The 22,890-nt window shown below is 50.7% G+C and overlaps 1 protein-coding gene across 3 annotated transcripts in view, besides 3 other annotated features; it reads left to right on the forward strand.

The window, feature by feature from the left end:
- The window catches only part of KCNJ5 (potassium inwardly rectifying channel subfamily J member 5), a 29,808-nt gene extending 15,970 nt beyond the window's left edge, over positions 1 to 13,838 (forward strand). For 2 of the 3 annotated variants that reach the window (NM_000890.5, XM_011542810.4), the window contains exons 2-3: positions 3,939 to 4,885; positions 9,084 to 13,838. In NM_000890.5, the coding sequence (NP_000881.3) occupies positions 3,949 to 4,885; positions 9,084 to 9,406 (1,260 nt within the window). In that variant the 5' untranslated portion in view covers positions 3,939 to 3,948 and the 3' untranslated portion in view covers positions 9,407 to 13,838. Of the gene's footprint in view, positions 1 to 2,526; positions 2,616 to 3,938; positions 4,886 to 9,083 lie in introns of all 3 variants that reach the window. The other variant, NM_001354169.2, reaches the window with a different exon arrangement.
- Positions 19,063 to 20,063: an enhancer, noted in NCBI's record as "H3K27ac-H3K4me1 hESC enhancer chr11:128796283-128797283 (GRCh37/hg19 assembly coordinates)". NCBI's record gives its function as "activates a minimal SCP1, AML or CMV promoter by ChIP-STARR-seq in naive H9 embryonic stem cells {active_cell/tissue: H9 hESC(naive)}" and the evidence as "EXISTENCE:reporter gene assay evidence [ECO:0000049][PMID:30033119]".
- Positions 22,257 to 22,356: an enhancer, noted in NCBI's record as "active region_5745". NCBI's record gives its function as "activates an Ori minimal core promoter by ATAC-STARR-seq in GM12878 lymphoblastoid cells {active_cell/tissue: GM12878}" and the evidence as "EXISTENCE:reporter gene assay evidence [ECO:0000049][PMID:35858748]".
- Positions 22,367 to 22,416: an enhancer, noted in NCBI's record as "active region_5746". NCBI's record gives its function as "activates an Ori minimal core promoter by ATAC-STARR-seq in GM12878 lymphoblastoid cells {active_cell/tissue: GM12878}" and the evidence as "EXISTENCE:reporter gene assay evidence [ECO:0000049][PMID:35858748]".

Here is a 22,890-nt window from a genome sequence, read left to right on the forward strand (position 1 = left end):
ACCAAGTTGTTAGGGCCCTGACTCCTGACATTCTAGACCACGCCATGACACCAAGTTTTCCTCCCTGTGGGTGCGTGATGTTTGACATTCTTCATTCAGAGGTCCATCTAAATGGATGTCACATTCACTAACGCATCATCTGAAATACAACTTCCTTTGATTTTGCCTCTTTTGAGTCTTTCTCCACTTGTGTTTTCCTATCAAAGGGATTAAACCACTTTGCTGGACTTGAAGCTCTGTCTTTTCCAAAAGCTTTCATCATGTCTCAACACAGCTTCCCATTCACAGACACAGGAGAGGATGGAAGAAGAGAAGTATCAGGCTTGATGAGGCTTAATAGGATTTGCTCAAGTCAGTGCCTTTCCCTGCGTCCTGCAGAGAGTAGCTAGGATGCTCAGCTTACCTAGGCCAGCCACAGCATTCCTCCCTGTCTGTCCTCTACAGACAGTTCTGCAAAAACCCTAGCTTCAAAGAGGAAATGCTAGAATATCAACTATGGGAGGGCTGGCTCTGCGTTTATCTTCTTCACTGCTTTATGTCCAGCTCCTAGCACAGGGGTTTGGCTATAGTAGTTCCTCAATTAATGTGTGCTTAATGAGTGCATAATTAATAGAACGGATCTCGAAAACCTGATTAAAGAATTTCATCTCCATTGTCCCTGAAAATCCTTTTGACTTGATAGGCACACAACACTGGAAGCCAGGGTTTCAAGGATGGGGATTTTACTTACCCTTAAAAGAAATCTAAACAGTAGAGGCTGCATGCTGGTCAGCTCAATGCTTGCCCTGCAAATTGCCCACTGGGCCTTTAGCTATTTGTCTTAGATAATCTCTACCTCTCTTTCTTCATCTTTAAAATGGGGTTAATGGGATATTGCATTAAATTTCAATTTGAGGAGAGATTATGAATACGTATGTTTATTTTATTTATACTTATGTTTGTATCATGTATTCTTTCCATGAATCCCTACAATTGGCTCCCAGGGCTGGAGGAGCAGAGGATATTATCTGGGATTTATAGCAGAGTAAACTGAGGCAAAGAAAGTTAAGTTTGTTTGTATTTGGACCACAAAGCTGGTTTGTTGGACACTGAGTCAGAATCCAGATGTTACCCTGGGTTGAGCAAGGGATGACTTCTGCGGATGATTCCAGCGCACAGGAATGCGTCCCAATATCAAATCAAAAGTAAACCACCCTTTCCTATCTGCCAGACGCAAAAAGTTTTCCTATCTGGGCTGAAGTCTCCTAGAAAACATTTTCCCGTTTCTAGTACGGCACAAAGCCTTCGCCTACAAGAATGTATGCAAGTATGTTTAAAAATAAAGAAGGAAACAGTGCAGAAAATCAGCAGCAAGCTGTTTCCCCAAAGAGCTGAGTACAGGAGGATGTGAGCTCCCATGTGCCCCGGCCAATGACTCATTCTTGTGGCACTGTGCCTGCCCTGCCCAACCTCAGTGGCTCAGGGAGTCCGCAGCGGCACCCCCATTGGAAGCCTATCTTGGTTCCAACAGCTGGGGTGTCCAGAATACACGGGGCCTCGGGACAGCAGCATTTTCCATCATCTCTGAGCATCTGTGATTGAGTTTTCAGGATGAAGTCTCCCACTTAAGGCAGAGCAAATTCCTGCTTGGGATTCTGCAAAGATAGCCCCAAGCATTTTCCTCCTTGTCTCATTTATCCTTGTTAACTGCCACATGAAGGAGCAGGAAGCAGGTGGCCCTATGCAGAATGGGAAATGGCCAATGGACATCTGGGACAAAGCCCTTCAGATGACCTTTTGATATGATGTTTTAAAGGTTATCTTGAAATTGCTATAATCACCCAGGCAGCACAGGAAAAGGCCTGCCAGGGTCATCTGACTCCCCAGGACAGCTGGGATCTACCTTGGTTTGCCATTAGGCAGTCAGCTCAGTGGTTGACAGGCCTTTTTCCAGGTTGTTCTACTGGGGACACAGCTTCCCGGTGTTCTGCCTGGTGGAACCTGCAGCTGGAGTCACCCTCAGAATGGTGGCAGGGGAATTCCTGCAAGGGACTGCCCAAACCATCCCCAAATGGGGTCAGTTGAGATTCCAAAGAAGAAATCACCAAGTTCCAAAGCACTTATTAGGGGAACTTACATGTAGAGCGCTGCACTGGTCCTCATGACAGACAGCAAGAAAAGAGGTGCTCCGCTTAAGTATGTCTGCGGCAAGGGCTCTGGGTTATGGAGTTATTTGGCCCAAGGTTGGGCTAATTCCTACATGTTTAGCAACATGTTTAATCTTTCAGTATTTCAGGTAACAACCTAAACAGGGTTTCAGTGCCAGGGAATGTTTCCAGGGCTCAGGCCTGCAGGAAAAGACATGCAGCTGGCCAAGTGACAGAGCAGTCTAGGCATTCTGTGTTTCTCGATCAGGACAGATAAGTAAGTGGGGGTTCCTGGGGGACCCTATACCCGGGAGGGAGGGTAACTGCGAATTCAAGGAAGACTTACTTATAAAGAGGAAGAAGGGTTGAAAGATAGTATCCCTAAGGTGATGTTTCCCAGGGCCAGAAGCTCATAGAACTTTCTGAAGGGAGCAGGTCATCAGCCTTAGCATGAGCCCCGGAGCATCAGTGTCTGCTGGCCGTTGTGTGGTGAGTGCTGTGGGTCAGCCTTTGGGCTGCAGCCAGATAAACCTAGACCCAAAACCTCACTTGGTCACATGCTAAGTGAGCTTCATTCTTCTCTTCTGAAAAATGGGGGGATAATAATGGTATTTATCTAACCATGTTGTGAGGATTAAATCAGCCAATGGATAAAAATTTCCTAGTGCAGTTCCTGGCTTCTGAGTGCTCAGAAATGTTGTCTGTTATTGTTAATTAAAGAGGTCTTTCCCAACTGAATGAGAGTCTTAAAGCTCGTTAAATGGGTTTTGAGGGGACTATCAGACACCTGTATTGCAGGTGTGTGGGTATCTCTTGGAAGTGTGGTAGGCACCCCCACAAACACATTACGCCCTTTGAAGAGCTTTGGGGCCATTAACATCCTGTCCAGTTCCATTTCTTAGAGGACAGGGAATCAAATTTTCTAATGGCGGGCCTACACAGCAATTTGTCATTTTAATAAGCACTCAGATGGCTGCAGACTTCACACTCAGACGGTAGGGGTGACCAATTGACAAATCAGATACATGCTGCCTTTTCCTTTCTGTCTGCTGCTAAAAGACCTCAAGATAAATAGAGACAGCAAGGAATGAAAGAAACAGCACAGGCTTGGGCCAGATGAGCAGGAATCCAAAAATCAGCTCTGCCTGATATTTGGTGGCCTGGGTGTCACTTAACCTCTTTGGAAGCCTGTTTTTTTATTTATCCATCCAATTACTCAGTAAGTACTTTTTGAATACATCCATGTGCCGGGCTGTGTTCTAAGTGCTTGGAATACCAGAGAACAAAATGAACACAAACTTATGCCCCTGTGGAGCTTACATTCTGATGGTGGGAGAGAGACTGTTTGAATTAAGCCTGATTCATAAGCAAACAATATAGTATTTATATAGTGGGGATTCCAATATCTAATGCCAGTGAATTGCTGTGGCGATAAGAAGCCACAATCCACATGTAATGCGTGGGACACAGTAGGTATTTAATAAACTATTGTGATTATTCTTTTTAAATTGCTCCCAGGTTTCTCAAACCCTTTCAACACTTAATGTGTAGTTTGCACCTAGATATTGTTCATTTATTCATTCAACAAACAGCTAGCAAGCATCTATTTTGTGCTAGACTCTGTACTAGGCACCAGGGATACAAAAGAACCCTATAAGAGAGTGAGGCCCCTGCCCTTGAGGATTTCACGCCCTGACCCCTGGATAACAGAAGAGAAGCCTGGGAGAGCCCCGGGGTGGGGGTGGCCTTCCATCTTGTGTTCTAGTGAATCAGAACAGCCCACTTCACTGATGGTGTCTTTTTAACTCAAAGCATCCCAGCTATGGCTGGCGATTCTAGGAATGCCATGAACCAGGACATGGAGATTGGAGTCACTCCCTGGGACCCCAAGAAGATTCCAAAACAGGCCCGCGATTATGTCCCCATTGCCACAGACCGTACGCGCCTGCTGGCCGAGGGCAAGAAGCCACGCCAGCGCTACATGGAGAAGAGTGGCAAGTGCAACGTGCACCACGGCAACGTCCAGGAGACCTACCGGTACCTGAGTGACCTCTTCACCACCCTGGTGGACCTCAAGTGGCGCTTCAACTTGCTCGTCTTCACCATGGTTTACACTGTCACCTGGCTGTTCTTCGGCTTCATTTGGTGGCTCATTGCTTATATCCGGGGTGACCTGGACCATGTTGGCGACCAAGAGTGGATTCCTTGTGTTGAAAACCTCAGTGGCTTCGTGTCCGCTTTCCTGTTCTCCATTGAGACCGAAACAACCATTGGGTATGGCTTCCGAGTCATCACAGAGAAGTGTCCAGAGGGGATTATACTCCTCTTGGTCCAGGCCATCCTGGGCTCCATCGTCAATGCCTTCATGGTGGGGTGCATGTTTGTCAAGATCAGCCAGCCCAAGAAGAGAGCGGAGACCCTCATGTTTTCCAACAACGCAGTCATCTCCATGCGGGACGAGAAGCTGTGCCTCATGTTCCGGGTGGGCGACCTCCGCAACTCCCACATCGTGGAGGCCTCCATCCGGGCCAAGCTCATCAAGTCCCGGCAGACCAAAGAGGGGGAGTTCATCCCCCTGAACCAGACAGACATCAACGTGGGCTTTGACACGGGCGACGACCGCCTCTTCCTTGTGTCTCCTCTGATCATCTCCCATGAGATCAACCAGAAGAGCCCTTTCTGGGAGATGTCTCAGGCTCAGCTGCATCAGGAAGAGTTTGAAGTTGTGGTCATTCTAGAAGGGATGGTGGAAGCCACAGGTAAGGCGCTTTGTCCTCCTCAGCCACAGGTGGCCCTACCTACACTTCAGACTTAGGCAACTGTGACTCCAGAAGATGCAGGTCTGTGCCTGAGAGTCCTGGGGTGGCGCAGGCAACACATTCAATCCCTAAATTGTGGTTTGAGGGGTACTGGTACTCAAGATTGAGTAATAGCAATAGCTAACACTGACAGGAACTTCCCAACTTTCAGGCACTGTCCTAAACAATAAACATCTATCATCTGGCCAAATGTCCTCCCACGCCCTATGAGATATAGTGGGTTATTGTTGTTGTTGTTTTGTTTATTTGTTTATTTTTGAGGCAGGGTCTTGCTCTGTCACCCAGGCTAGAGTGCAGTGGCCCGATCTCGGCTCACTGCAACCTCCACCTCCCGGATTCAAGCGATTCTCCTGCCCCAGCCTCTGGAGTAGCTGGGATTACAGGTGCCCGCCACTGCGCCTGGCTAATTTTTGTATTTTTAGTAGAGACAGGGTTTCACCATGTCGGCCAGGTTGGTGTCGAACTCCTGACCTTGTGATCCACCTGCCTCGGCCTCCCAAAGTGCTGGGATTACACGCGTGAGCCACAGTGCCCAGCCAAGATAGTTTTTATTAAGGTACAGATAAAGACACAGGGACACAGACAGGCTAAATTATTTGCCCAAGAGCAAGCACTTTCGAATGATAGAGCTAGGATGGAAATTGAGACCAGGGACCCCAGAGCCAGCACTTGTTTCCAACAGGACAAACTGCCCCTTCTTGGAACAAGTGTTCTACCCAGAAGAGCTCCCTGGTCAGATAGCTCTGGTAATCACAGGGCGAAACAAAAGCGAACTGGTTTCTTTACAGTGGACTTCTCGCTGTCCTTACCCACTGAGTCTCATCACTGGGAGAGGAGGGGATGCAGAATTTCCTAAACTCAAAAGGTTCTCACCAACCCCTTACTTGGAGAGACCTTTGCTGCAGGGGAAGGGCTTTTGTGGCTGGGCTCCCTCTGGGGCAGCCAGCCCTCAGCATTCTTGCAGAAGGTTGGTTTAGTGAACGCAGGGCAGGTGAGGCTCCTTTCTCACAAAAAAACAGTGCATCCATGCTGAGGCATCAACATCCATGTATGCCCAAGAAAATGCCCTTTGTGTGGCCAGCATGGCACCTCCCTGCTCAGCTACTGACTCACCAGCAGCTGGTAGCCAAGGACCCCCCAGTTCCTCAGCCACTCAGCCATGGCAGACCTCTGTGAGGTGGCTCCAGGGAGTCCAAGGCCTGGGACCGCCTGAACTCTGGCAGAGGACCCTAGTCCCCACCCCACTCGCAGCAAAACCCCACATCCTGCATATTTCATTTCTTCCTCGTGCCTTCCTTTCTCTCTCTCTCTCTTTTTTTTTTCAACCAGGTACAATGAGCAGCTGGTCAGGCCCTAAGGATGGGTTCTAGAAACTCAGTCACGCTCAGAATGATGCATGTCTATTTTTCCAATTCTTGCAAATGACAGTGTAGGGCTGGCTTCAGTCTCATTTTACAGATGTCGAGGCTGAACCTAAAAAGCATTATGTAGACAGTGAGTGTTCATATTCAGCTCTTCCACTTACAAATCTGGAGCTTCTCTCACCACTCTGCCCCACTAAAATACTAGCGGCCTGTCAGGAAGATGGCCAAGCACACATTCCAGCCCCCAGGAAGCTGGCTGCCGGGCAGGGGACTCAGACCCAGACTGCACAAGCCTTCCCATTTTGAAGTTGGTGGAACCAGGAGAGGGCAATGACAAGCTCCAGGGACTGGTGCCAGAGGTGGCTGCTCGGCCATCTGCTGGGGGCTGGAGTCTGGCAGGCAGCATATGGTGGCAGGTGGGCAGCCCCGGGGCCGAGGACAGTCAGGACTCAGGAAGGTTTCCCCCACAGAGCTAGGGGCTTGCAGGTCACCCTGCCCTTGCCTCCAGGGTCAGAATCAGGACACAGGCTGCATTTCAGGGGAAGAACTCCACTCTGAAGCCACAAAAAAGGGATTGGGTGAGAGACATGGGGTCAAATCATAGCACACCTGACCACTCTCCAAGGCCATCCTCACTCCCCAGCCATGCAGCAGGGAGAGCGCCCACAGGCTCGTAGTGGAGGGAGCCAGTGCTATCTGCCCCGCTGCCCCGCTGCACCCCCAACCACACCTCCCTCAAAGTCAGGGGCCCGCCATTCACTTGTCCTCACGGTTTGGCCTCCTTCCCCTCCCACAACCCGGGCTATGCTTGCTCTGTCCCACAAACTGTAGGGGAGATCCAGGGAGATAGGGCAGGAGACCCTGGCCCACATCTGTCCTGGATGTGGGTGGTTTGGTTGTCAAGCACATGCAGCCAGGTGTGGGCTGGGAATCCATGCCTCAGCTTGAGTAGCACAACTCTGCCGTATCCTGCCTGAGCGGGTTTGAGCAAGCTGCTTACCTTGTCAGCAAAGTGAGGAAAATCAATCTCTTAGGGCTGTTGGGAGGATTCAAGATGAAAAGGAGCTGTGCTGATCACTATACCTGACACCTGGGGAATCCTTTCCAAACGTATTGAGCAATGACAGGGACACACCAGGATCTCTAGCTACAGGGCAGCCGCTGCCACACCCCATGAGGAGCAGGAGGATCCCAAAGGGGAAAGGTCCTGCCCATACCTTTCCCAAGGCCCTGGGAGGCTGCAGACGTCTGGCATGGTCTAGGCTGCTCAGGGCCCGGTTTGGGCCTCTCTGCCAAGGCTGTGGGGACAACAAGGGTAACGACTGAAGGGAGAGGCCCGGCCCAGGCAGGCATCACTGAGAGCAGAGAGCAGGCTGTGGGCGCACCTGTGTGGGTGCGCTGGGGCTGAGAAGCAGCCTTGGACCTGGGTCTGCTTTGTATGAGCCCCTCCCAGAGAAAGCCCAAAGTGGGAGCTGGAGACGGTTGCCTTCAGCACCCAACCAACACAGTTAATGCCTTCCTTGGCCAGAAGATTAAATATCAGAAAGCTGCTTTCCTGTGACCCTAAGCACAGAGGCCTCCTCATCCATAAACAAAGCTGCCCTCCTCTCTGGAGAGAAAGCAACACCTAAAAATAGCATAGGCATGGCACGGGCTGAGTAGACAGGGAAACGAGGCATTGGAGCAGCCTCAAATCAAGAAGCCAAGCTCTGTGTGTGCGTCTGCTCCTCTTCCTGTGTGTATGTGTGTGTGTATGTGAGTGTGGAGCCCTCTCTCCGTATGTGTCCGCCCAAAACAATCCCCATATGTTCCAAATGCCTGTCAGATTCTCCGTGTTCATTCATGCTGAATTTATCTTTGCCCTTTCCTGCCTTTTTTCCCATCTTAATCTTCTAGACCTGAATGCTGTTTTCAGGAACGGAGTCCCTACCTTCAACTATTCCAACATCTATTCACTCCAATCTCTAGGAAATGACTTTCAGAATCTTGCATGTCGATTTCTAATTTTCTGCCACCACTACGCCTTGAACTCCTCCAGGGCAAGGACTGTGTCTTATTCAGCTTTACATTTCCACTATGCTTAGCACAAAGTAGATGTTCATGAAATGCTTGATGAGTGATTGGATGGTTGAAGGAATGCATGAATGTATGGATAATTGGATGGATGGATGGATGGATGGATGGATGGATGGATGGATGGATGACTGGATGGGTGGACGATTAGGTAGATGAGTGGATGGATGGATGGATGGGTGATAGGATAGATGGATAGATAATTGGAAGGATAGATGAATAAATAATTGGGTGGATAGATAGATGATGAATGATTGGATGGATGGATGGATGGATGATTGGATGGATGGATGGATGGATGGATGATTGGATGGATGGATGAATGGATGGATGGATGGATGGCTATATCTTTGCCCTTTCCTGCCTTTTTTTCCATATCTGGATGGATAGATAATTGGATGGATGGATGGATGGATGGATGGATGGATGGATGGATGGATATATCTTTGCCCTTTCCTGCCTTTTTTTCCATATCTGGATGGATGGATGGTTGGATGGATGGATGGATGGATGGATGGTTGGATGGATAGATGATTAGATGGATGGATGGATGGATGGATGGATGGATGGATGAACAGATGACTGGATGGATGGATGGATGGATAGATGGATGGATGGATGGATTGATGGATGAATGGATGAATGGATGGATAGATGGATGGATGATTGCATCATAATGCATGTAACTTCCGTTTCCCCAGGCATGACCTGCCAAGCCCGGAGCTCCTACATGGATACAGAGGTGCTCTGGGGCCACCGATTCACACCAGTCCTCACCTTGGAAAAGGGCTTCTATGAGGTGGACTACAACACCTTCCATGATACCTATGAGACCAACACACCCAGCTGCTGTGCCAAGGAGCTGGCAGAAATGAAGAGGGAAGGCCGGCTCCTCCAGTACCTCCCCAGCCCCCCACTGCTGGGGGGCTGTGCTGAGGCAGGGCTGGATGCAGAGGCTGAGCAGAATGAAGAAGATGAGCCCAAGGGGCTGGGTGGGTCCAGGGAGGCCAGGGGCTCGGTGTGAGGGGTGCAGCCTCCCTAAGACCTCCTGTCACTGGCTTCAGTGAACACAGACACTGCAGAGCCTGGGAGCAGGGGAGGGGAATAGTTGAGTGTGCTGTTTGGGGGCTCAGGAGCCATCAAGGCTGTGGGGAGGAACCATAAACCCAGCCCTCACAGCTCCCAGCACAGGGCCTCCCTGAGCCAGTGGCATCCTGCCTGGGCCCCCCATGGCAGTGCTGCCTCTTGTAGGTGCTGGCTAAGGGCCAGGCCAGGATGAGTTTCCCCATGGTGAATGTTACCGGATGGCATCTGTTCTCTCCATGCCCTGGGTCACTTCCTTTTTTGGGTCTCACAGACCCCTCCAGGGGCTGACACCTAGAGAGAACCATCACCTTGTCCCTCATTCCTTCCACCCTGAGGCTTGCTGTGGACTCAGAGAGGAGACTTACCTGATGAGAGCTCAAACCTCTAGTCTGGGATGAGCTCACAGAGCCCTCATGAGTTAAGATCCATCCATATCACATAGGCAATTCCTTTTAAATCAGATACCAACGACCCATTACTGAGAGGTACAGAGCGTACAGCCCTTGGTGTTCTCTGCTGTTATCTGCCAAATGTGTGTGTTTTTCCTCTGCTGTGTTCTGTGTGTCCAGTGTAGCCTATTGGAGAATCGGTCTCATTAGAGTGACTCTTAGAAGGTGGCCTGGGACTAGACAGCCCCTCTGAGCACATGCATAGTGGCATCAGCAGCTTCCTGGCCTACTCCCAATCACACTGTGCCCTGCACCTCCCACCAAGGGGGAACCCCAGCAGCTGGGGCTTTTCGAGTGCTTTTTGGCCCAAGAATCTCAGAGTGCTTCTAATCATCACAGTAGTTTTTGTGTTTTGTTTTGTTTTGTTTTGTTTTGTTTTGTTTTGTTTTGTTTTTTTCACAATCTCAGCCAGCCTGCGGTGTGACCTGGGGAGAAAGTTGAGTGTCAGGGGACATGATGAGCCAGTTGGCCCTGAAACAGGAATGGGGCAAAGAGAAAGGAGAGCCAGGAGCATTTAAAAATCAGCATCTGGGCCAGGCAAGATGGCTCACGCCTGTGATCCCAGCATTTTGGGAGGCCGAGGCGGGTGGATCATGAGGTCAGGAGATCGAGACCATCCTGGCTAACACGGTGAAACCCCGTCTCTACTGAAAATACAAAAAATTAGCCAGGCATGGTGGCAGGTGCCTGTAGTCCCAGCTACTCGGGAAGCTGAGGCAGAAGAATGGCATGAACCTGGGAGGTGGAGGTTGCAGTGAGCCAAGATCATGCCACTGCACTCCAGCCTGGGCGACAGAGCGAGACTCCATCTCAAAAAAAAAAAAAACATCAGCATCTGCCCCAGTTGTGGCCAAGACACTCTGACCTCAGGGCTCAGCACCTTCACCATCAAGTTCAGCCTGAGCCAAGCTCCCAGCCCACTGCTGAAAAGCCCCTGGGCCTCCCTCCACAGGCAGAGTTACAACCGGGAGGGCTGGGCAGGGAGGGCAGGGAGATTGCCTGGGGAAGGCAAAGGGAATGGCTGCCCCTCCCAGGCTGGAAACAAGAGGGCAAGCGGGGTCAGCAGGAGAATTCGGGGGCAGGGTGAGTGTTAAGAAAAAAAGAGTAGAGAAGAGCCTGAAAATCAGCAACTTCCAGGGCTTTTCTGATCTGGAGGCCCAAGAGCAAGGGTGGAGGGGGGCAGATTGTCAGGTCCCGAAATGTGTGTTGACACACACGGGCTTCGGGTTAGCTGGCCTGACATGGAGATAGAGTGCCAATGTTCCCAGGCCACAGAATTATGGAGGCCTCACCCACAGTATTCACAGCTCTCAACTGGCCTTTGAGAATGGAAGCCTTTTCCTGCCCTGGATATGGCGCTTCTTCCTGGGAGAGGAGCAGAGCCACAGAGAGGTAGGAAGTTGAGGCAGAGCAAAGGGAAGGCTTCAGAGCTTAGGCCCGGTTCATCTCAGAAGTGTTTTCTAGGCCTGGGGCTGAAAGGAAGAGGGGTGGGGCAGCCTGGGACGGGAACTGCCTCTGTGGGCTCCCCACTCCCAGGGAGGGGCTCCATAAGCTTTGCTCCTGGGCTGGATCTTGAGAGGTGGGCAGGGTCTTCCCACCAGTGGCAGGGTGTGCAGTTGTGGTCCCAAGCCTTGGAGGGAATGGGGAATGGGCTGGCACCCGGCTCAGGGAAAGCAGAAGCAGACAGTGCCCCAGCAGGGGAGCTGCATGCCCCCAGGAGTCTCAGAAAGGCAGCCCATCACTAAGGCTGGATGCCTTTCAGCAGAGCTACAGCTGGAGCCCTCCGGCTGAGGCCAGCACTCGCCTGGGACTCCCTGGACCCCAGGGTTACTAACAGCAAAACCATTCCACACCCCCTTGCCAGATCTAAGCCTGTCTTAGGACCGTCAGTGCCCCCAGGTTAGAGCTCATGGGGGTCAACTAAGCGAGGGAGGGAAGGCGAAGGCAAAGCTGGCCTTGCACCTGGACAGCGGCCTGGCTCCTCCCCACACCTGCCTTCATTTATGACTCTGAAACATCCCCCACCTGACCAAGGGAGCCACTCTCCAGTTCTCTCACTCCACCAGGGCCCTCCGTGAGCCAGGACCAGGTCACATCTCTCAGCCAAGTCTAGAAGCTCTGGCTAGAGGAGAGGAAGCGTGCAGAGGGTCCTCTGCCAAAGCTCCCTGCCTGGCCCGAGCCCGGGCATGCTGGGATTAGTGCAACACCGCCCCAGTGTGCCTCCTCTGCCTTCTATCATGCCAGTTTAAAAGCAAGAAGACTCCCCCTTCACATCCTGAGGAAATCCCCTTCCTGGTGACCAACTGATGCAATGAAAGTTTGAAAAGTTCTTCATTTTCTAGAAGTTCTTGAATAAACATGGACTTACTAAATGCAGAGTCTGATGATGGACAGAGTTTCAAGGGGTCACTTTCAAAACATTTAATTAATTTATTTATGTAGAGACAGGGTCTCGCTCTGTCGCCCAGGCTGGAGTGCAGTGGTACAACCTCAGCTCACTGCAACCTCTGCCACCTCCCAGGTTCAAGCGATTCTCATGCTTCAGCCTCCTGAGTAGCTGGGATTACAGGCATGAGCCACCACGCCCAGCCATTTTCAAAACACTGCTCCTGCATACAAACCACTCAGAGGCCACTGCCCTTGGTTCTGTGATGGCTCTGAGCCCATGCCATCACATCTGATGGACCCCAGAGAGCTGAGCCGTGGTTTAAGATGGGGTCATGCGCTGGTCATTCCCACAGTCTTGAGTATCTCCAAAATCCCAAAGTGATATTTCACTTTCGGACCCTGAAAGTTTGGAGAGCTGGTTTCTTGCCTTAATTTAAGCTCTCTGAGAATGTCCCCTGTAGGGAGAAGCCTCCAGGAACTCAGAATAGAACTCGTTCCCACTCATTTTCCTTGCTCCACCAATCTGACGCCTGACAGATGTCACCACTGCCTGAAGGATCCTGTCCCCAGGCCAGGGCAGAATGGGCATTGCCTTTGACTCTCCCCTTCAGACTCCCCTCCCACCGGCCTCCTGTGTAGTCAGAGAACCCACTGCCCATCGCCTCCTGCTGCTGCTTTGAGGTTGAGGTCCTGGCTTGAGCAGTTACCTTGCTGGAGAAGAGGAGCCCCTGCCATCTGGGGAGCACTGTCCCTGCTCGTGATCTGTAACAGTGGGGCGCTTTTTCACACCCCTTATCTCACGGCTTGCTTCCAGCCCCCATCAATCCTGTGCCTCATGTGAGGTGAGCCCCAGAGAAACTTAAATTGCTTGTACTGAAGTTGCCAAAAACCAAAAGTTGCCCGTTGTCATTTTTAAGACTGTGCCCTGAACACACCTCTGCCCATGCGCCATGGAGCATGTGTTAGGTGCCTGCCGTGGGTCAGGCACTTGATTCTCAAAACACTGCCGAGAAGCTCTTACCAACGTGACAGTTGAGGCTGAGAGAGGTTCATGAGCTTGCTCAAGGCCACGGGTAGTAATAAGAGGCATGGCCTTGGTGCCAAGTGCCTCCCAAACAAACAGCCGGGGCCGTGGTCCTGCCTAAACTCTCACATCCACGGCACCACGCTGGGCCCAGGCAACAGAGATAAGGAGAGCCCTGGCTCTTGGGATGGGGTCGCGCCGATTCACATGCTGTGCCACGGAGCCCCGGCTTCCATCCATGATGTGCCCCTGTGGCGGGATAATTGGGAAACAACCTTTTTCTGATTCCCAGAGAACTAATGAGCTGCAAAAAGAGATTAGACAGGGAAGAATTGCTTTCGGGGAGAAGCCACTTACTCGGCTCGCCTTGGTTTTTGCTAACAACGTCTCCTTAAACTGCTGTCAAATCTTTTTCTCCCTGTGTAGGATTCATCAATCTTCGTATGCAAAAGAACACCACTGCACTGCACTGCTAAAAATTCACACAATAAAATGGACTTTAACTTGCAGAGCTCTTTCTCATTTTAAATGGACGGCCACTAGTTGCCCGTTTAAACTCATTGCCAGTTGTAGAAACCTTGTCCTTCTTGGTTTTGTTAGCCTAAAAATGTAGTATCAACATCTAGACTGGTTTCGAGGTGGGAGAATGGGCAAAGGTGGGGAGGAGAGAGCCGGATAGGGGCAGCTGCAACCAGGTGTTGGCAGGCAGAGCAGGCGGCAGTTGCGGAAGCTATGGGCAGCATGGGTTCTCACACTAAGTCATTCATGCCACCCCCAAATAACTTCTGTACATTCTTTAATGTCAAATATTCAGAACCCACATTACCTATGTAATGAGTAACTTTAAAAATATCTACTTCAGGGGGCCCTTGGACTAGCATTCTGCTGCCAGGGCATACATTTGCAAAAGGATCGTTCTTGCTTAACAGTGGGAAAGGGGCAGAGGAGTCTGTGATATCTAATGTTGGCAAAGGATCTCAGGATCTTTCGAGAGAAGTCCCAAAGTTTCTGTTGAAAATGTCCTTAGCAGTAGAGGATGTAAGATTGGATTCTCTTCTGCTCTGGTCACCCAATGGCAATATCGAAGAGCCAATATTTACTGAAAATCCCTCAGGTACACCATACTGAAAGGATAAAGTGGCTCACCAGGGCTCTGATTCAAAATGAGAAGCAGTATTTCCAGTTGGGAAAGGCAGAACAGCTCTGATGTGTGTGGGGGCATTTCCCACATCTGGCCCCATGGCCCACCCACAGTAACCAGGCATCAGCAAATCTGTGCGTGGGACTTGGGCCAAAAGCACGTGCTGAGCCTCAAATTCAGCCATGAGCAAAACTACCTGATGACTCTGAGGGTGAATTGCCTTCAGGGTGGGAAAGACCCATGCAAAGGCCAGGAGCTCTGGGGATGGCCCTTGCCTGGGGATTGCACTACAATTACTGCTCAGTGTCAGAATGGAGACATGAGGTCAGGAGAAACGATGAATCTGTGAATTTGCACATTTGTCAGTCAAGCTCGGATTGCAATTTGAGGAAGGAGAACTAGACATATAATCTAATAAAAGCAACAATCTGAATGTTACCCTTAGAAAACCCACTCAGGGCCGGCCGGGCACGGTGGCTCATGCCCGTAATCCCAGCATTTTGGGAGGCCGAGGTGGGCGGATCACAAGGTCAGGAGATCGAGACCATCCTGGCTAACACGGTGAAACCCCGCTGCTACTAAAAATACAAAAAAAATCAGCGGGGCGTGGTGGCGGGCGCCTGTAGTCCCAGCTACTCAGGAGGCTGAGGCAGGAGAATGGCATGAACCCAGGAGGCGGAGCTTGCAGTGAGCCGAGATCACGTCACTGCACTCCAGACTGGATGACAGAGCGAGACTCCGTCTCAAAAAAAAAGAAAACAAAGAAAAAATGAAGAGAAAACCCACCCAGGCCCAGAAGATGCGCTCTGCCGGTTCCAGTCAGAAGAAGACCAACGCCAACGCATGCAGAGCAGATGTCTCCTTAGGCCTTGTTAGATCCCAGCAATAAAGCGTGCTGACTTTCTTATGGTAAATAAATGTCTAGGAAGGAGTTTTGAAAACAGAAACATTGCTGACTTTTTCTCTAAGTGAGTATTTATGTTGACTCAGAAGTTGTTATTCAAATAACCTTGGCTCACTTGGTGGAGGCAAAAATCCTACATCCCAGAGGAGAAATTACTGAGAATTGGGCACATTAACATATACTTTGAGCTTCATTTTTCTACCAAGTAAGCAAAAGTGTAAGTGGAGAGATCCTCGGCTGTGCTGGGTGAGGCTGCAGCAGTGAGCGAGGACGAGGTGACGTGTAGGTTGACTGAGGACTCGTGTGTGTGCACCCACTGGATGCCACATTCCAAATCACCTCTTTTATTTATTTATTTATTTTTTTTGAGACAGAGTCTTGCTCTGTTGCCCAGGCTGGAGTGCAATGGCACAATCTTGGCTCACTGCAACCCCTGCCTCCTAAGTTCAAGCGATTCTCCTGCCTCAGCCTCCCGAGTAGCTGGGATTATAGGTGCCCGCCACCATGCCCAGCTAATTTTTTGTATTTTTAGTAGAGGTAGGGTTTCCTCATGTTGGCCAGGCTGGTCTTGAGCTCCTGACCTCAGGTGATCCACCCACCTTGGCCTCCCAAAGTGCTAGGATTACAGGCGTGAGCCACCACGCCCAGCCCCCAAATCACCTGTTAGATAAACATGCTCATGGAAGAGACTGCAACCAGCCCTGTGTGATCTGAAGCGTCCAGGGAGTAACTGTTTCTTTGCCTCACCATGTAGTTACCTGGGGAAGTGGGAAGGCGTGACCACTCAGGAATGCACCCACCTTCTCTCTCCTTACAGAGGAGAGCCCGCTGGTTCTGGTTCATGGAAACAGCTAAGAAAGGGGGAAAAGCATTTACTGAACCCAGACTGTGCCCTGATGGATGAGAATGTGGCTGTTTAATCTCCTGGTGTCTTTCCCATTCAGTAAGTGCACTGGGAGAGGCTTCACACTCCTCCTCTTCAGATGAAGCACCCCATGGACACACCCTGTCTTCAAATATTAGATAAAATCTTGCAGGGAAGCTGCTCCTGTTTAGGTCTCCCAGAACCCCACAGCAGCAGCAGTACCTGGACATTAGTCCAGGAGCTGATCATCCTGATCATTCCCTTTGGAATCGGTGGAGCTTTGCAGGGCATTCCAACAACCATCTCACTGTGATAAAGGATTAAAATGACATCTCAGAAGACACAGAGCCAACTCCACACAACGTCCAAAGGGTCTCTGACTTTTCATTACTTCAATTTTCCCACACATCCATTATTCAGCAAACATTTAATGAGCACCTACTATGTGCCCAGAGCAGGAAGAGGCACTGCACACTCAGCAGTGATAAGACTGTCTTAGTCCACTGGGGCTGCATTACAAAAATACCTTAGAGTGGGTAATTTATAAAGAACAGAGACTTCCTGCTCACAGTTCTGAAGGCTGGGAAGTCCAAGATCAAGATCAGGCCGCCAGCAGATTGGGTGTCTGGTGAGGGCCTGTTCCTCACAGATGGTGCCTTACATGTGTCCTCACTTGGCGGAAGGGGCCAACAGGCTCCCTGAAGCCTCTTCCATAAGGGCACTCATCCATCACGAGGATCCTCTTCCCACGACCTCATCACTGCCCAAAGGCCCCGCCTCCTAATGTCGTTACCTAAGGGGTTAGGTTTCAACAAAGGAATTTTAAGGGGACATAAATATTTAGACCATAGCAGAGACAATATGATCTCTTGCCCTCATGAAATTTTCTGTCTGGTGGGGACGGGGAGAGACACAGACAGAAAAAATACACAAATCAAAGAATTACAGTTCGCAATAAGGGCTATGAGGGAAACTAACAGGGGGCTGAGGTCAGGAACAGCAGGGCTGCCCCTGGGGAGGCCACAGGGACTGAGGCTGTAGGGGGCCTGGAAGCTGGACTTGAAACAGGAGCAGGAATGAGCTCCTCCGGCAAGGGCTCTGGGGGATCAGCCGTGTGTGAAGGTCCTGGGGTGGAAGGCGCAGCTGTATCCAAAGAACTGAAAAAAGCCCAGGGAAGCAGCAGCCTTGGGGAGGGGGAGCAGGGAGTCAGCCCACGCCTGGCTGGGAGCTAGGGCTGAATTCAGATCTCATGCCAAGTTCAGGGGAAAGCACACCAGGGGGCTTATCCGGGGCGACCCGCTGTGAGTCCAACCTGAGATGGTGTGACCCGTCCTTTCTCCTGTAGGTCACGGGTCATCAGCCACATTGGGGCACGGTCTGACAGCTCTATCTGGCTGTCCTCAACCCTGTCCTTTAAGGTCTAAAAGCCACAGGTCAATCTAAGTTCTTTTCATAAATATTTCCAAGTTGTAAACCCAGGAGTATTTCTGAGCCATCCTGGACAAATCCCTCCTAAGTATTATTGCACATGCCCTCTGTGTCAGAAGCTGGTCAGACTGTTCGAGGACCCTTCCCAGGGTCAGGGTCCATGGCCAATATCACTTGCTCCATTTCTCGCCTGCCTGCACCTGGGGAATGAGCTCAGCCACCCGCCTACGTGGGGTGCCAGGCGGCATGCAGACTCCTTACCAACGTGGAGAAGGCTTCCAGCTCACAGCCCTGACCTTGAGAGCTGCTTCCACATCCATTTCAATAGGCAGCATCTGAAAGAGAAAACCAGTCTCTTTTCAAGGCCCTTAAAGTGTTCATCTTGAAAGGGAAATTGCATTTTGCAAAGCACTGCTCATGCATCTGACATTTGTACATCTGGAAAACTGGGATTGCTTTATGTGGCGCCCAGTGAAATCCAGCTCCCCCTCTGCCTCCCACCCTCTCCCTTTCATGATCCTCTTCCCAGCTCCAATCCTGGACTCCCTGGGCCCTGGCCTCTGCCTGCAGCCCTCCTACCTTCTATGCATAATGCCCCATTTCCCAGCCATGTTAACCATCTTCCTCCGTGTATGAAAATCAGATTGTGGCCGGGTGCAGTGTCTCATGCATGTCATCCCAGCACTTTGGGAGGCCAAGGCAGGCAGATCATGAGGTCAGGAGATCGAGACCATCCTGACCAACATGGTGAAACCCCGTCTCTACTAAAATACAAAAAATTAGCCAGGCATGGTGGCACACGCCTGTAGTCCCAGCTACTCGGAAGGCTGAGGCAGGGGAATCACTTGAACGTGGAAGGCGGAGGTTGCAGTGAGCTGAGATCGCGCCACTGCACTCCTGGATGACAGAACAAGACTCCATCTCAAAAAAAAAAAAAAAAAAGAAAGAAAGAAAAGAAATCAGATTGTTCCTTTAAAAAAACAAAAACCGGCAAACAGACAAAACCCTTTCAGGGTGGAGGGATTTGGGAGCTGATTCTTTTCATGTACAATGAGGGTGTTCCTAGACGCCTTTCCAGGCCATCTTTTTAGGCTAGATGTACACTCAGCAAACATTTGCCAAGCCCCTTCTGTGTCCCAAGCACCCCACCAGGACCTGGGGAAACAAAGCTGACTCAGTCCCTGCCCTTTGGGAGCCTGCAGCCGAGCTGGAAGGAGGGTTCTGCGCTGATTGCTCTGATTCATTGCATAGAATAATTTTTGTTTGTTTAGAAACATCATTCTATTTTATAAAGACAAATGTCCACATTGTTGGACAAGAACCAAGAACCAGGTTCTTGGACAAGAGGCAAGAACTGGGTAAAAACACATGGACACATTCATTAAAAAAAAAAATAGTGAAAGAAGAGACTAAACATGCAGGTGTTGTCAACAAAAGCAATGATTTGCCATCAGGTCAGCATTTATGATTTACACGTTTAAAATCTGCCATCAAAAGACAGTGCCAATTCCAGGCAAAACCTTCATCCTCTCCGCAGCTAGGGCTTGCAGAGCGCGCTCTGTAGGAGACTTCCCCTGAATCTCGGGAACCAGCCGTGCCCAGCACCCTGCCGGGGGCCTTCCTCGCCGCCTCTGTGCGCAGAGGTCTGTCTGCGGAGAGCTATTCTGGATCTCCTGAGGGTTTCCACTGGGCTCCTCCAGGCTACAGCACAGGCATCCCTCTTTCTTAGGTTACAGTGAACACAGTTCCCAAGATGTCTTTCATGCTCCAAGTTTTAAAAAAAGAAACAGAAATGAAAAGGAATCGCTGCCCTTCATCCTCCAACCTGAGAGAGGCCCCTGTGAACCTGAGAGAAACCCCTGCGGACCTGAGAGGCACCTGCCATCCCGCTTCTGTGTCCTCTGCCCCACCCTGCTGGCCCCCTGCGCCCTCTTAGCCACATTCCTGCCAGAGACCAGCAGGGGACTGCACTTGCCAACTGGCCATGCGGGACAGTGGCTCCAAAGGGGCAAGAGAAGGCATGCGGGGGCCAGCTGGGTGAGAAGTGATGGCCACTTGGACTGAGGAGGCAGTGGAGCTACAGATATGTAGATGGATTTGACAGTTTAAGGGCAATAATTCGCAGAACGATCGGATGGAGGCAAAGGGGAGCGTTCGGGAGGAGCCCGGGCCTCTGGCTTGCAGAAGCAAATGGACGGAGGCTGCACAATCCCTGAGCCCAGCTGCACTGGAGTAGAATCTAATTTAAAGGAGTTGGAAGGAGAATTGCGTGAGTTTGGCTTTGAGCCAAGCCCCTGCATTTGCACGTTTGCATCTGAGGACCCTCAAAAGCCAGCATTTGCATATACCTAGACCTCTGAAGACAGAACGGTGAAAGTCCTAAGTTTGGGAGTCATCAGGCTGTAAGTGGGACCTGAAGCTGAGTTCCTAGCTAAGACTGTCCTCGAAGGAAGCAGAGCATGGACAGAGAGGAAGGCTGGGACTGACGCTTCAAGGGCTCACTCACTGAATGGACAGAGGCTGGAAAGGAGGATGCCTCTGTCCATTCAAATGTTCTGTCCATTTGCTTCTGCAAGCCAGAGGCCCGGGTTCCTCCCTCACACTCCCCTCTGCCTTGATCCGATCATTCTGCGAATTATTGATTTTAAACTCTCAAATCCCCATAGCCCCGGCCTTCAAGCACTCTCCAGGTGTTAACAGGCAAGACCCTCCCAGAAACCAGCACAACTGCTGCTTCCATGGTCCCTGTGATTCTGGGGGATGCTGAGCAAGGATCCCACGGAAGGGTCATCAGTGGGGAACATGCCAGGGCCAAGCCCGAGGCTGCGCTGGTTTATGCACCTCCTGAGCAGAGCAGCCCTCACCATCCCCACCGCAACCCATCTGCTCCCCGCAGACCCACCATCGCCGAGGACGGCCAAAGGACCTCTCCTGCAGCCCTGGGCTTCACTGACCCCGCTTTCCTCCCCTCTGAGTGCGGCCATGTTGTCTGCTGGCTTGCTCATCACAGGATCTGGGCTGCTCTGACTTCCTCTTAATTAGCTCTTTTCATGTTGTAGCTTTGCAATTTCCCTTGATTTCCACTGTCCATTTAAATGCCTTATTTTCATTTTTGAAGCATTCCTTTAAACTTCCTGTCACTGCGTTGGTTTCTATTGTGATGTCTGACAGGTAGCTGGCTTAAAAGAGTGAATTTCCATATTCTCCTTACAGATTTGCATTTTCCCATCAACTGGAGAAAAGACAGTTGAATCAATGAAATAGCTGGTGGGCAGAAAGGTGTGTGGAAGGAAACAACTGGCTCCTTTTGCAATATGAGATCTCAGGGGGGAATATCTCAGACGCCAGCTGTGGGGGAAGAACTTCGTAGTTAATATAAACTTTGATTCCTACATTCCTACATCACTGTCACCCAATGCACCCCATAGCCCTTAATTTGTGTTTGCCTCTGCCTAGGATAGCCGATTCTGGAAGATAATTCATAAGCAGCTTTGGCTGTAGTTTCAGTGGCATGTCCCATGTGGTTCCATTTCGTCTTATTTGCTACAGGACGGTCTGTGCATCTGAGGAGTCAGTGCCCATCACTTCCGGGTGCCCCTCCCTCCTTACCCTGCCTTTCTCAAGAAAGCTTTCAGTTTCTTTAGCAAAACCCTTCAGCCAGGTTTCACAGACATGTCCGGCAGACTGTGACATTTTCACTCATACATCTACAACATGCACACCAAGACACACCCCCTCCAAGATTCATAGCAATACATTCCTAATTATATAGCTCACTTCTTTCTTACTGACCTTCCAGTGGACTACAATCACCTCTGCCTTATTCACTAGTTTACAATTAGAGTAATACATGGAAAACCTACACATTATATTAATATTCTACCCTTGCATAAGCATATTGCCATCTTCTTCAAACACCACCCAGATGGAGAGCTGCAAGCATTTTCAGCTGCACTTCAAGTGTCCATGTTATCTTGGAAGAAAAAAAGCCTTTTTTTTTTTTTTTTTTTTTTTTTTTGAGACAGAGTCTCACTCTGTCACCCAGGCTGGAGTGCAGTGGTGAGATCTCAGCTCACTGCAACCTCCGACTCCCAGGTTTCAAGCGATTCTCCTGCCTCAGCCTCCCGAGTAGCTGGGATTACAGGCATGCGCCACCACACCCAGCTAATTTTTGTATTTTTAGTAGATATAGGGTTTCACCATGTTGACCAGGCTGGTCTCTCGAGCTCCTGACCTCAACTGATCCCCCTGCCTCAGCCTCCCAAAGTGCTGGGATTACAGGCGTGAGCCACTGTGCCCTGCCAAAAAAGCCTTTTCAATCCGACAGACCCAGATTCAGCCTCTGAGTCTCTTTGTCTGCAGCACAGTGGTAACTACCTCGTGGACTATTACAGAATTAAATAAGATCTCTTGGGCTCGGCTTTACTCAAAGTGGCATCCCTGTAAACATTACCACCTCTCCCCCTTTAAATCGGGGCCATGTGTGGAGAGAGGCCACAGCTCTTCCACTCTTGTCCTCCTTTGTGTCACTGTCCCGGTGTTTTCCCCATCATCCTTGGCTTTCCAAGAACCTGTTGGGCCAAGCTGGCCAGGCATCTTCTCCAGCACCACTCAGCTGTGCTCTTGTTAGTGCTGCTCTGAGAGGGACTTTCCCCCGAGGGGAGCCCCCCCCTCCCCCACACTCTCCCAGGACACTCCCTCCTCCTCCTTTACAACTCACCCAGCCTGATCCTGCATTGATTTGCTGAGCACGTACTAAGCACCTGGCCGCCCTGTGCCCAGCACCACCACACCAGGTCCTGGCTCAGGGGCTTCTGGTAGGCACCCAAGTCAGAGCCAACCATGCAGCCCACATGCTCCACGCAGGATGCTGGGCCAAGGGCCCATCCTGGCTAACAAGGCTCAGCTCCCCTCTGACCCTGTACATGAGAGATCAGATGAGCGCCCTTTCTAGAAAAGCAAGCTCCCCCTGCCCCCTTGGCTTGTGAGGTTTGTTGGTGGGGGAGGGATCCCGCGTTCACATGGGGGAGGAACCCATCAGAACCTTTAGAAATGGGATTCTCTGCCTACTTGCACGGGCACCCAGTGGAGCCACTGCTCATGAAGCAGACGGCTGCTTTGCAGTGATGAATACACTTCAGATCTGAGGGAGACGTGGAATTAGTCACGGTGGAAGGCTATAGCACATTCTTCTAGAGCAGAAGCGCCCCCAGAGAAATCATT

This window comes from Homo sapiens, chromosome 11, assembly GCF_000001405.40.
Source record: "Homo sapiens chromosome 11, GRCh38.p14 Primary Assembly".
Taxonomy (NCBI): domain Eukaryota; kingdom Metazoa; phylum Chordata; class Mammalia; order Primates; family Hominidae; genus Homo; species Homo sapiens.